General features: G+C 37.3%; 1 long non-coding RNA gene across 2 annotated transcripts in view; it reads right to left on the minus strand.

The window, feature by feature from the left end:
* Positions 1–15114, minus strand: part of LOC105372772 (uncharacterized) — an 82493-nt gene that overhangs the window by 52217 nt on the left and 15162 nt on the right. Inside the window, exon 3 of one of the 2 annotated variants that reach the window (XR_937654.3) lies at positions 235–297. The exons of the other annotated variant lie outside the window; for it this stretch is intronic. This is a non-coding gene — a long non-coding RNA (uncharacterized LOC105372772). The remainder of the gene's footprint in view (positions 1–234; positions 298–15114) is intronic. 2 annotated transcript variants of the gene reach the window in all.

Here is a 15114-nt window from a genome sequence, read left to right on the forward strand (position 1 = left end):
TTCTAGATCAGGAGTTGAAAAATGATGGCTGGTGGGCCAAATCCAGCTACTACCTGTTTCTATATATGAAATTGATCGGAACACAGCCACAAGCATCCATTTACATATGGTCTATTCTGACTTTCATGCTACAGTGGAAGAGTTGAGTGGTTCAGACAGAGACCATATGTCCCTTAAGGCCTTAAATATTCACCATCTAGCCCCTTTCAGAAAAAAATAAAAAAGTTTACCAACCTTTGCTTTAACATGATGGAACTTGCTTCAAAATTGTTACCATAATGCTCCAATTTCTGGTAACTATAATAAAGGAACATCAGTTAATTCTTCTCACTTCTTTTCTTTGGCTTCATCTACACTTTGTAGCATCAACTGGAGCCTCAACATCAGAATAAATGGCTACTGTGTTCTTTTAAAATTTGAAGTGAACAAACATCAACAAAATGTTTCACAGATTCTCAAAGTTTTTCCATTTGACTGAGAGTGTTGAGTTTTGTGATGAATAAACAGAACTCCTTCTAGGTTTCACAAATTATAATAATATGAATAATATCCAGTATTTATTATTATATAGCAAGTGCACAGTGTGAATCATTTAATCTCCAATCAATGCTGTAAGGCAAGTTCTAGTATAACCTCCATTTTACAGATGAAGAAATTGCAGCACAGGCAGGTTAAATATACTTTCCAGCAAAACAATGCGGCCAAGTGATGGAGGCTGCAACCACATTTGGTTTACCTCTGGAACATGTGCTCATAACTAGGAGATTGTCTTATTAACTTTTTATATTTCTCTGACATGATAAATGGCTAGTTAATGAATTAGGGAGGAAATTGATGAACAGATTTTGCCATTCTGTACTTACAGAGCACTGAAGCTCATAGCCACATTGTCAAATGTTTATCTCAGTCTTTCCCTAAAGGGATGTCTCCTATTTACACTCCAGTCTGTGAAGGATCCTTTGCTTTTCTGACTGGTGTCATCTACAACATGTTATTTTGTCCAGAAACTTGCCTCATACCTTTAGCTTTGGCTCAAGGGAAGATACTCATAGCCTAAGATGCAGAAGAAAATATCTGACTACCTGAGTTCCAGATTCCCTCTGTTTTGCCATTTCTGAAGGACCATTAAGTCAGCTGTCTGTGTTTCAATGAAAAAGCAACTCTTTTCAATTATGTAGAAAGATGAAGAGAGAATAGAATATTGAATTGGCAGCCTAGAGACAACTTCTAGAGCTGAATCCATCATTCCCTATGTAAACTTGGGCAAATTATCTTATCTCCTTGAGCCTCAGTTTCCTTATTTGTTAAGTGAGAATGTTGTATTGATTAATTTTTAAGGTATCTGTTGTTTAACTTTAAAATTAGAAATAGAATTCACATTTTTAAAAGTATGACTTGGTAGTTAAAGAAAACTAAAATAATCAGGCACAGAAATGATTTTAATAGATTTTTTGACATTATGAAGGTAATACACTTGTCCCTATATACGTAAAGCAATTTATTGCAAATATATTTTGTGTATTTATTTTTATCTATGTATAAATACTTTCAGGATTTTCCAGTGATCTTGTTAGGTCATAGAAGTTGTTCACCACCACAGCCTTCTTTCTCTCACTTTCTTAGCCTATGGGCCCTCTACTCAGGGTTCCCCCAGCACTTTCAGAGTTTGATGAAATACTACACCTGGATGGAGTATGGAGTCTGACTTCCTGAGTGCTTCCCCAAAACATGCTTCAACCGGAAATGTGGTTGAATTACCCTTACAGTGAACCTGATCAGTGGTAACAGGAGATGCTAGAACAGGAAAAGACAAGTTTCCCCTTTCCTCCCTATCCCATCAATTACTTTGAGGTGTATTTTTTCTTTGCAACCCCTCCAGAGAAGTCGGCAATGTTTAACGAGCATGCCTGCCAAGTGGCTTGCCTTATACCTCATTATGAAGTGATACTCAGGGCCACTAACACATCGCACAGCATTGCATTGCATTTTGCTTGCTGCACTTCCATGCTCCATTGCTACAGCCTTGCACTTCCCAAACAGGGTTAGTCCTTAATGATCACCTCAGGTTCTGCATTAGTCAGGTTCTCCAGAGAAACAAAATCAGTATGATCTCTCTGGAATAATGAGTGAGAAAGAGAGATGGAGAGAGAGAGAGAGAATATGAGGAATTGGAGGCTGGGAATTCCCACAGTCTGCATTTGTAAGTTGAAGACCCAGGAGAGCTGTTGGTATAATTCCAGTCTGAGTCCAAGGGACTGAAAATCTGGGAAGGTGATAGTATAAATCCCAGTATAAGAGCAGGAAAATACTTATGTGTCAGCTCAAGTGGCCAGGCAAAAAGAAAAAGGGGCAAATTCCTCCTTCCTCTGCCGTTTGTTCTATTATGGCCCTCGATAGTTGGGATGAAGCTTATCCAGGTTGGAAAAGGCAGTCTACTGAATCCATTGATTTAAATGCTAATCTCATCCAGAAACACTGTCACAGATACATCCAGAAATGTTTTACCAGATACCTGGGCATCCTCTGATTCAGTCAAGTTGACACAAAATATTAACTATCACAATCATTCTAACTAAAACTACAGTTCGTGTATAATTCTGTTGATATGTGTGTTATTTATATTACATCCTCCAGGACCTAGCATAAACCGTGGCACATGGCAGGTCCAAATAAACACTTATTTAAATGAATTTGCTTTTTTGTACTTGAAATATAAACTCTTTGAGTAGGTGATTTTCACCATGAAATATTTGGTAGAAACAGCTGAAGAGGTTCATAGTAAAATGTTCATATAATGAACTAAATTGAAATGTTGGGACGAAGGGTAAAGCCTGTGATATCAGCTACAAAGCTTCAGAATGAAGAAACACAGTTCACAGTCCATTTTACCACTGCTGGTAGATACTAAAAAAGCTGAGTTCTCTGTTGTAGAGCACATAGAATGAGTCATACAAATTGAAGAAAGATCTTGGAAGGCCCAAGAGATAATAAAACAGAACCTATATTCTAGCAATTGTTCTTGATTATTTGAAATATAGTGAAGAGACAATCTAATTCTTACCATTATCTCTTAGTCTATGATGATCATGAGTGGGTGTGATCTCAAGAGACAACGTAAGCATTTTAGAAGCTTGTCACAATAATGTCATCATTTTTCTCTAATTACAATTGAACAGGTCATTATAAGGTAAACACAATCAAAGCTATTATGTCCATATGCTATAGCAGAAAAATACTTGCTAAGTGGGTAGCTCGCCATTATTTTAGATTTAGGAAGTATAAATATGCTGATTCAGCGGTCATCCATAACACTTTATTCATTCATGGAGTAATATAATATTGCATCCATATTGTGCTATCCACATTCCAAATGGGGTCTAGCATCCACAGTTCAGAACTATCCCACACAGTTCATTTCTAAAATACCCATCTAAAGCAGTGGTTCTATACAAAAAATAATTTTGCCCCCAGGAGACACAGGGCAATGTCTGGTGACATTTTTGGTTGTCATGAACTGGTGGCTGCTACTGGCATCTAATGGGAAGAGGCCCAGGGATGTTGCTAAGCATCTTACAATACTCAGGATGGTGCAAACCTAGCGAAGAAGTATGCTACCCAACTGTCAATAATGCCAAGATTTATGGAAATTGCAAAAAGAGCAAATACTTTGTTAAAGTGCAGGAAGCAAAGCAGAAAGGTAGAGAATGATAAAAGAAGATTTTTTTAAAAAGAGTAACAAAGAAATAAAACAAACATGAGGAATGTGATGGCCAGAAATAACATAAGATGGTAAACTAGATTTAAACAATTTTTGGAAACAAATTCTCTGAACATTGCCTTCTGCTCTAATGTGCTTCTTGTGCACAGTTGGGCTAGTGTTGCCTTCTTAGCAGAGCTACACTGGGGAGTGTGGAGGACTCATTAGCAGAAAAGTCATGACTGTGAATATGCACAGACATTTTAATGAAAGCTTTAGTTACTACAGTGACAACTCTCTCTCTCTCTCTCTCTCTCTCTCTCTCTCTCTCTCTCTCTCTCTGTCCACTAAGAGATTCTATTGATTCTGTTTCTCTGGAGAACTTTGACTAATACACTGATATAATCTTACGAGAAAAGCAATAAAGATTGGAGGACTTTTCCCAGAAAAGATAAGTCTTGACTTAGGACCTAAAGGATCATAGATTTAGATGACAGCGTAAGATCACAGAAAAGGAACATCACAGGTAAAACTTACAAAGCAGTATTCAAGCAGAGGTGAGGATTCTGATGCACAGAGTGCATGAGAACAACAGCTGGAGCTTGAACTAGAAAGGTTACTGGTCACAAGATACCATACTAACAAACTTATATAATATTACATAAGAAACAGGAGATCACTGGAAATTTCTAACTAATCATTTCAGAATTTCCATCTGTCATCTAAATGTAATTTACTATTTGGGCAGATTTTAAAATGAGCTCTTTTATTTGACTGTTTTAGGCAATATTTTATTTGAGATAATATTTGCAATTCACTTTGTTCATGTTGTATTATCTGAAATCCTTCTGGCTAAGAAAATATTAGAAATATTTTTTAGTTTGAAAGCTATATCCTACTTTCTGAATTTTTCCAACTTGCCTGGAAGGAGCCCTTAAACAAGGATTGTATCTTCTACATAATTTGTTACCTACAGAGTAGAGTATCATTTAGTAAAAAGTTAGCAAGTGATTTATTCTTCTTTCAAGGAAATGCAGTACTTTTGATATAAATTATTTATTAAGTGTAGAAAACTGGCTTTATATCTTGTCCTGATCCACATAACATCAACTTAGTATTCTCCAGTGTTTCCGATGTGTATGTCATTGTAAGCACATAGGTCATGCTTACTATATACTTTTTGATAGAAAGAGGAAACCTTGTGCAGATGAAAGAATCCTCTTAGAAGAGATGAATGTTCCATCCCAGAAGCAGAGGTGTTTCTTATTGACAGTTTCAGGTATCTTTGTGTATAAAGGGATAAAAGATATTTCAAAGAATGTATCACCTCTACTACCAACTTATATTGCTAGGCTTTGATTGTTCTATGGAAACAAGATCACAACATTAAGAAACCATTATTGTAGACAAAAATAAAATTTAATTATGAAAATTGGAGTCATTTGCCTTTTCACTTTTAGGCTATTTTCAAAAGCGGTAGTCAAAATGTCGTGGGCTTTTAAAAAACAATATACATGCTGTAGCAATATATTTTAATAATCCATAAAACAACACAAAGAGATGTGTTGGGTATTTGATTTGTTTATATACATAATATGACATCTGAGGTAAAATAAAGTTTATTTGTCCAAAATCAAACAGCAAGCCAGTAGTGTCTTGTCAACTCACGTCCGTTTTTAAAACTCCCTCTATATATTTTGGGCTATATCACCCTTATGCAAGAGGTAAAAATAAATACAAATAAAAGAACATTCATCCTCATCAGAGTAAACTGTCCCTATCTCCTGGGTAATAAAGTACCTGTTTTCCTCAGTCAAACTTTCTAAGCTTTTTAAATCAAAGAAATATTGAGCATTACTTTTTCAAAGATCTTGCTAACATAGTATTCAGGTGTTAGGGATCTGTCTATTGACAGTGAATTACATTTCTACAAGTTTTTTTTACATAGCCTGGTAAGAGGCAGGATGAATGTTGAAAAATATTCTTAGAGGAGCTAACGGCACCCACGATGAAGTATCTAAGGATATTTACTGGAGCCAGTGGAGCACAAATGGAAGAACGGTGATATGAAAGAAATAGTGTGGAGAGTTGAACAACGTTCATGTAATTGAAGAGAGGCTCAACTTAAATTTTGGCACCTCTACATAAAAACAAAAGTGATTCCTGCAGAACTAAGTATAGAGCAGGCTTTCTTGCATATGACACAATGCACTCTCAATAGCCATTTAGCCGCTACATTTTCACAACCACCAGGCAGAGATTTCTAGCTATTTTGATATTGACTTAAGTAATTGGATTTTACATAACGTTAGAAGAAACACAAGGAAAACCAGCATAAAGTTAAGGATATGGAACATTTTAATTTTGCTCCTTTATATGTCATGCTCAGAATATTCTGCATATTGAAAGAGAGTAATGAAATTCTGTAATGATACATTCTAAATTGTTAAAGATCATAGTACCAGGCCGATATGAGGCTCGGGTCATCGATTGGAAATCCATTTTATTTCTTTAAATATCATTCTTTATATCCCAATTTTGTACAAATTCTATTGTGAAGACTTAGAATGTATTTAGTTTGTCCATTGCCCCCATCCTGCAAAGATACACTCTATTTCAATGGGTGCACACAACTATATATGTTTTAATTCTGTGATGTATATAACCATTTTATTTATCGAATTTCATTAACATCAGCTCTGTTAAAAATTAAAATATGTTCCCACTCAAAATACATTTTATGAAACCATTAAGACTAAGTATAAACAAATAAACAAACAAACAAAAAACAGAAGAAAAAGATGTACTTATTGAGAGACAAGAATGTTTAGTATCCTCTGAGGTGAATTATGAAAGGGTGACTTAAAATCCCTTCTCTCAGTTTCTACACATTCTTCTTAAGAAACCTACTTAATTTTTTTTTCGCTTGTAAACTGAGTTATCAGGAATGATTTTTCTGACATATGAGCTCATGACCTTCAATGACCTCAATTTTTTTCATTTTTACAATTGAATAAAATCATCTATTTGGCAGAATTACTGTAAGTATTAAAGAAGATAAATATGTATATAAATATATAATATATAATATATATTTAATACATAATATATATTATATATTATATATAAAATATATAAATATATATTTATAAATATATTATATTAATTATTTTATATAATTATATTAATATTTATAAATATATAATCTTTATATATATTTATCTTCTTTAATACTTAGATATAATATATACATATAATGGAAGGCCTACAAAAATGTTAGGGCATTCTCACTATTATTTTCAGTCATTTTAATTTATATGTCCTAAAACATAAAAATTCATTCTGTCAATAGTCAATATTTATGGAATATCATCTTATGGTAGTTACTGTGCTGGCTTTGGGTTTAAAAAGATGAAAAGACGACCGGGCACAGTGGCTCACGCCTGTAATCCCAGCACTTCGGGAGGTAGAGGCAGGTGGATCACCAGGTCAGGAGTTCGAGGACAGCCTGGACAATAAGGTGAAACCCTGTCTCTACTAAAAACAGAAAAATTAGCCAGGCATGGTGCAGGCACCTGTAGTCCCAGCTACTCGGGAGGCTGAGGCAGGAGAATCGCTTGAGCCCAGGAGGCGGAGGTTACAGTGAGCCGAGATCGCGCCACTGCACTCCCGCCCAGGCAATAGAGAGAGAGAGAGAAAAAAAAAAAAAGGATGAAAAGATATAGTTCTTACCCTCAAAAACCTTACATGACAGTTTAAAAAATAGAGTAGTAGAAAGAAAGATGATCCTCACATGCTTAAGTGTTTTAGAATAGGCTTTCTCTAGCTCTAGAAGAAAATTCTTTCCAAGTGCTGTAAAATTAAAATGGACGCTTTGCATGGGAATGTTGTTACTTTCCCTTCTATGTGAGCTTTCAAAACTGTATCCACGACCAGCTCTACTTGAAGAATATGCACACCCTCTCCGACACTCCGCTTTGTTATTAGAACAACGGGTGCCAGTGCAGTTTCTATAAAGCAGAAGCTTTCAAATTTATGTGACCAGGACTCACACTGAAAAATACTTTTACTTCAGAACTTCTCTCATCTTTCTCAGAAAGCCCAAACATTCGATGACTCTAATAATTTCTATTTTATCTCATACCATCCCATTTCAGTCCATTCTATTCTGTTATTTCTCACTAAAAGAAATACTGATCACCATCAACAAATAGATTTTGTGACCAATAGTACAAGTTTCACATTTTGAAGACATTTGAGGTAGAGATTACCCACATGGGAGTTACTAAGGTGGCTAATTCCACGTGCTGTTTGACCTTATCACACAAAAAATTCATTCCTTTATTAAAAACTCCACTCTCTTTCTCAGTAAGTGGAACAAAGGTCCCATTAAACCGTGGTTCAACTATTAGGTCACTAGATGCTCACAGAAGAAATCTTAAGTACCTACACATTTTTTATCAGATAAAATTGCAAACTGTGGACTGAAAGATAATTGAAGACAAAATTAGAGTCTGCCCTAAAGGAGATTAATTGAAATTAGGAAAATACATTGATGCAAGTTTAAATCAATGTTTTAAAAAATAACACATCATATATCAACTTACATTTTGGGATCCAGAAAGAATATCAATCAAGTAGATATTCGAGTTTGAATTCTTCCTATGACCTTAACAAAGCTTAATCTTTATATAGTGCTTTACAGTCAATTTTTTAAAAAATTTATTTCCTTTTTTTGACACAGTCTCACTCTATCACTCAAGTTTATGGCACAATTACAACTCACTGAGGCCTCAAACTCCTGGGCTCAACCAATCCTCCTACTTCAGCCTCCTGAGTAGCTGAGACAACAGTCCTGTGCCACCACCCCCAGCTAGTATTTTTCTTTTCAATTTAATTTTTTGTTGTTGTTGAGATGGAGTCTCACTATGTTGCCTAGTTGGTCTCAAACTTCTGGGCTCAAGTGATCCTCCTGCTTCAGACTCCCAAAGTGCTGGGATTAGAGATATCCATCACAGTTCTTTACAGTTTATACAGTTATTTCATTCGCACAAATTATCTTATGAATGCTATCTATTATGTCATAAAAATAGTTACTCTTTTTGCAAAGATATTGAATTATGACATTTTTCATATGTCATAATTAGGGAATTATGACATATATTCCCTACCAAGTAGGGAACTGGTAAGTTACTAATATTTAGAAGTGAAAAATGTCCCTAAGTGTACCAACGCATTGGATGAAAAGTTCCTTAAATATAGCAGTTGGTTCTAGATCCTTATGAATCAATACAGTAGCAAGATGATCAGCTTTTCCACACAATGAGATGTCACAAACTAGATCATGACTCAAAGATGAAAATTCAGGAGATTTTCTGCCCAGAGCATGAAATTTACCATGGCTGGAACTGTAAATCTGATGTAACGTCTGTGGCAAGAATGGGAGAGGGAGAAAAATCTTGGCTGGCTCTACTGGGACTGAACACAGCACTGGTAGACAGTGGCCTTGCAGAAAGAATTGTGGCAGTCATTGTGGAATTGGGAACTACCTCAAAAGGTACTAGGAAGAGAATAGAGGAAGTGGCTTGGACAGGAAGACTGAAGGAGAGATGCTGAGGCCAAGGGAGCCTCAAGGACTTAGATAAAGTTTCCAGAATAACAACCATCAAGCCAGGTATTGGAAAATATGGTTTTGGTGAATTCTCCTTTAGAAAGTGGTCTGGGGTCAGGTGAGGTGGCTCATGCCTGTAATCCCAGCACTTTGGGAGGCCGAAATGGGAGGATCACTTGAGGCCACGAGTTCAAGAAAAACCTAGGCCACATAGTGAGATCCTGTCTCTATAAAAAACATTAAAGATTAACTGGGAGTAGTGGTGCACACCTGTAGTTTCAGCTACTCAGGAGGCTGAGGTAGGAGGACTGCTTGAGCCTGGGAGGTTGAAGGCGCAGTGAGCCACGATTGCACAACTGCATTCCAGCCTGGGTGACAGAGTGAGACCCCATCCCCTCCCTCACCCCCAAAAGGAAAGAAAATCGTCTGAGACAAAATATATAATCCCATTCTTATCCTGTATGTCTTATAAGTGGATGTACATCTACACAAAATGATTTGAGTGAATCTATCACATTGACCAAATTACTGGCAGTGATATGTCACATGCATTAATATTTAGTTAACTTTTCCGGGAGTTGGTGATAAGGAATATCCACTTATATGTTATGAAACTTATACAATGTTTCATTTTTAGACAATAAATTTTATTTTATCAAAAGAATGACTCAACATAATTTTATTAACTCCCAAAACATTGAAATAAAATATGTACCAGGGTTAAGCGTCTTGTGCAACCAAAAGAAAATGTATGCCTAAAAAGTACTTCTTCAAAAATTCTCTAATATGATTTTATCACTATAAATTAATTGCCACTCACCTTTTCTGAAAATCTTTTAAAAATATTACGTGTTGTATTAGTCCATTTGCATTGCCATAAATACCTGAGACTGGGTAATTTACAAAGAAAAGAGGTTTACTTAGGCTCATCATTCTGCAGGCTGCACAAGCATAACAGCAACATCTGCTCAGCTTCTGGTGAGGGAATCAGGGAGCTGACAATCATGGCAAAAGGCGAAGTGGGAGCAGGCATTGCACATGGCAGGAAAATGAGCATGAGAGAAGGGAGGAAGAAAGTGAGAAGAGGAAATACCAGACTCCTTTAAACAACCTCACCTGAACTCATTACTATGGAAAGACAACAAACCATTCATAAGGGATCCTCCCCCATGACCTCAACACCTCCCACCAGGCCCCACCTCTAACCTTGGGAATCACATTTTAACATGAGATTTGGAGGGGACAAACATCCAAACCATATCATTCTGTCCCTAACCTCCCAAATTGCCTGTCCTCCTTACATTGCAAAACACAATAATCTGTTTCCAATAGTCCCCAAAGTCTCAACTCCTTCTAGCATCAACTCAGCAAAAAGTCCAAAGTCTAAAGTCTTATCTGAGACTCAAATTTCTTCCACCTATAAGCCTGTAAGATCAAAAACAAGTTATTTACTTCCAAGATAAAATGGTGGTATAGGCAATGGGTGAATATTCCCATTCCAAAAGGGAGAAATCAGCCAAAAGAAAGAGACAACAGGCCCCATGCAAGTCTGTAACCCAGAAGGGCAGACATTAAACCTTAAAGTTCCAGAATAATCTTCTTTGGCTCCAGGTCCTGGGCACACTGGTGTGAGGAACAGACTCCCAAGGCCTTGGGCAGCTCTGTCTTCACGGCTTTGCAGGGTATATAGCCAGCGTGGCTGCTGACAGGTTAGGGTTGAGTGCTTCTGGCTTTTTCAGACATGGGATGCAAGATGCCCATGGATCTACCATTCTGGGGGCAGGAGGGCTGTGGTCCCTTCCCCTCTGTGTTATTTTGTCTGTTTTGCTATAAAGAAATACCTGAGGCTAGGTACTTGATAAAGAAAAGAGGTTTATTTTGGCTTATGGTTCTATAGGCTGTACGAGCATAACACCAGCATCTGACCAGCTTCTGGTGAGGGCAGCAGGGAGCTTACAATCATGGCAGAAGGGGAAGTGGGAGCAGGCATCACACATGGCAGGAGAGTGAGCATGAGAGAAAGGAGCAAGAGAGCAAGAGGAGGAAGTATTAGGCTCCAACAACCAGCTCTCAACTGAACTCATTACTATGAGGAAGGCACCAAGCCATTCATGAGGGATCCTCCCCCATGACCCCAACATCTCCCACAAGGCCCCCTATCCAACACTGGGAATCACATTCAACATGGGATTTGGAGGGAACAAATATCCAAACCATATCACATGTATTCAAAGGTGCTGTAGGAAGTCCCAAGAATTAACAATCTACACTACTTTTCATTAAGACACTTAGAATCAAATTAAGGAAATAGTAGATGTGCACATAGAACAATACAGCAAATGTGTCAGAGAGAAATTCTATCTCAATCAATCAACGTGTCAATAACTTTGAGCAACCATCATGTGTCAGGCACATTCTGCATAGTGAAAAAAGACAGAAAAGTTTCCGGACCTCAGAGAACTTACCAGTGGCATTATCAGATCTAGTCACTAAAGTAATAATAATCTAATGTGTTCATGCCAGTGTTGGTTTTAGTACACAGAACTGCTGTCTTGGATAACAGGTTTGCCCTGGTCAAACTCATGTTACATCTCTGTCCCCCCTTTTTGTTTTTTTGAGATGGAGTCTCACTCTGTTGCCCAGGCTGGAGAGCAGTGGCGTGATCTCGGCTCACTGCAACATCCGCCTCCTGAGTTTAAGCGATTCTCCTGCCTCAGCCTCCCAAGTAGCTGGGATTACAGGTGCACACCATCACGCCCAGCTAATTTTTGTGTTTTCAGTAGAGACGGGGTTTCACCATGTTGGTCAGGCTCGTCTTGAATTCCTGATCTCGTGATCTGCCCGCCTCGGGCTCCCAAAGTGCTGGGATTACAGGCATGAGCCACCATGCCCGGCCATCTCTGTCCCCTTCTTATCTGTGGTATTTCATCCTGACCTTTCTCTTTGACTCTACTAAATTTTAACTAAAAACAAAATAGGCTCTTGTAAAAATTAATAGCATCATAATTTAAAGTGAGTCTGGGAAATTCTTTTCACTCACTATACAAAGATATAGCCCAACCCCCCAAACCACGTAGATAATCCAAGTGAAAACATAGAGAACATATACTTCACAAGGGTCTGCTTTGTCCCCTGCTTAATACTTAATGCCTCTACAGAGCATGATTCCAGTCTGTGCCCTAATCGTATTGGCTGAATGCATAAAGAAATGAAGAGTTGGCACACTTCAGAAACTTTCCCAAGTCATGTTTACATTAAGAATGACTTGTGCCAGGCTAGGCTCGGTGGCTCACGCCTGTAATCCCAGCACTTTGGGAGGCTGAGGCGGGTGGATCACGAGGTCAGGAGATCGAGACCATCCTGGCTAACACAGTGAAACCCCGTCTATTTTTGTATTTTTTTTGTAAAAAATACAAAAAAAGAAAAAATTAGCTGGGCGTGGTGGCGGGCACCAGTAGTCCCAGCTACTCGGGAGGCTGAGGCAGGAGAATGGCGTGAACCCAGGAGGCGGAGCTTGCAGTGAGCTGAGATGGCACCACTGCATTCCAGCCTGGGCGACAGAGCGAGACTCCATCTCAAAAAAAAAAAAAAAAAAAAAAAGAATGACTTGTGCCAGACACTGTGCTAAACGTATGTAGTATCTAGTTAAATCATTACAATGTAATCAGGTAAGTAATATTAGAACGTTCATTTTCTTAAAATTCCATATTTTCTTTACAAGTATGAATTATGACAGAAAGTGATGTTGTTTTGTTTTTGTTCTTAATAGTGCTAAGCATCTGACTTATTTCTTGAAACCTGTTTTGCAATATTTGGGTCTTATTATAACCTAAGTTGTCAGTCTCTTTAAAACAGGGATCATGTCTTAAAAGATTCATTTTCCCCCATAGCATCCAGCATGGTGCCTTATGCTTAGTGAAATTCTAATGATTACTTGGTGAGTTGAAATCAATCAAATAATCAGTCAGTCAAGAAAAACAAAGCCACAATGGTTGAATCATTCAAAATATTAATAAAGAGAATAAAAAAATTATCACTGCAGTCATATCTGTACTCTTGGTAATATACAACCTCATTTGGGGTTGGGCTTATATAAACAATTAGGTGAGGGAGTGCATGTAATTGTGTATAAAAAACCTGTAAGAAACCGCTATATTCAGAAATACCTAAAACCACAGTCAAATAAAGACTACAACATATATTATTGCCAAAAATCAAGGGCTATTTGAAGAAACTCACATTGTATTTTTCAACACTTTTTATAGATACTATTTCTGCAACTGATATTTATTAAAGAACTACTCTAATTTAAACTCAATACATTTGCAAGTCACTTTCCTTCCTGCTGCACCTTTTCCCCATTTTCTAAGACAGAAGGACACACAATTATTGATGTAACCAGGTCTCCATGTAAGGCTATAGCCACAGTTGTAGCCAGAATATCCTATCTTTCTTTTCAATAAAATAATTTGGAGAGAAACAGCCATGAATATTTAAAAAATTCAAGAATAATCACAATAAAACCTATCAAATTTTAACAAATTAAAATTGGTGTAAAATTAAATACATGTCTGCCATAGGAACACAGAAAGAATGAAAAAGAAAAAATAGCTGCTAAAATCTGCTTCAGCCCCTTCTCTGCCTCCATTCTAGTTATCTGTTCCATTCCTATTTTCCTCCTCAATGACTCTTCTAGTCATCTGCAAATAACCCCTGTGTCTGATGTTTACTGTTCTTCATTATCGGACACTATTGGCCATCGCCACTTCCACTCTACTGAAGTGCTCGTTCAGACTTCACCAGTGCCACCCTCATTATTAAACGTAATAGTTTTTTTCATCACTCTGAAATTTATCTTTCCTTTCTAAACTGTGTGCTATCGGACTATCTCTCTGCTCCCTACTTAAAACCCTTTTCCCTTGAACTTCTTGTGAAGTGTTTATTTGACCAGGTATCGTCCTGGATCTTTCCACATCCATCTCACTATAGGTTCTCTGCTTCTATTTCCTTCTATCCAGTCTTCAAATGTGGGCATCTCTCAGAATGGAATAGCAGGCTTTCATTTACTTAAAGAATATTCCCTTCCAAGATGATTCCATCTACTTTCCTGTTTTTCACTATCAATTTGGCAGGCAATTAAAAAATTTGCATTTGAAATTTTAACTGTTCTTCCAAGAAAAGTCCTAAATGTCAGGTAATTAATTCATAAGCATCCCTTGCCACATGCGTTAGCCATCAATATCTCAAATTTTATATCTCAGGCTTGTTAAAATTTGAACTTATGGTTACATCTCCTTATTGGAATTAATATAAACGATTATTTCAGTTACTATGACTGAGTATCTTGGTATCAGTCTGATATTTATCTTTTTGTTAATTTTCGCTACCAATCAGAATCAGATTATTTTATACTACTCCTAAAATGTACCACATAGCCACCCTATCTTTTCATTTAAATTCTACTATTTTAAATAGGCCTGTGTGACCTCTAGCTAGGTAATGTTCCAGTAATTTCCCTGTTTCTAATTTCTTTCCACATCAGCTTAGTCTCTGCATTGAATCATAAAAGGGAGTTGGATGACAAAAGAGTTGACTTCTTTTTTTTTGAGACAGAGTCTCGCTCTGTCGCCCAGGCTGGAGTGCGGTGGCACCATCTTGGCTCACTGCAAGCTCCACCTCCCAGGTTCACGCCATCCTCCTGCCTCAGCCTCCTGAGTAGCTGGGACTACAGGTGCCCGCCACCACGCCTGGCTAATTTTTTTTTTTTGTATTTTTAGTAGACACGGTGTTTCACCATGTTAGCCAG

Source organism: Homo sapiens, chromosome 21 (assembly GCF_000001405.40).
Source record: "Homo sapiens chromosome 21, GRCh38.p14 Primary Assembly".
Lineage (NCBI taxonomy): Eukaryota > Metazoa > Chordata > Mammalia > Primates > Hominidae > Homo > Homo sapiens.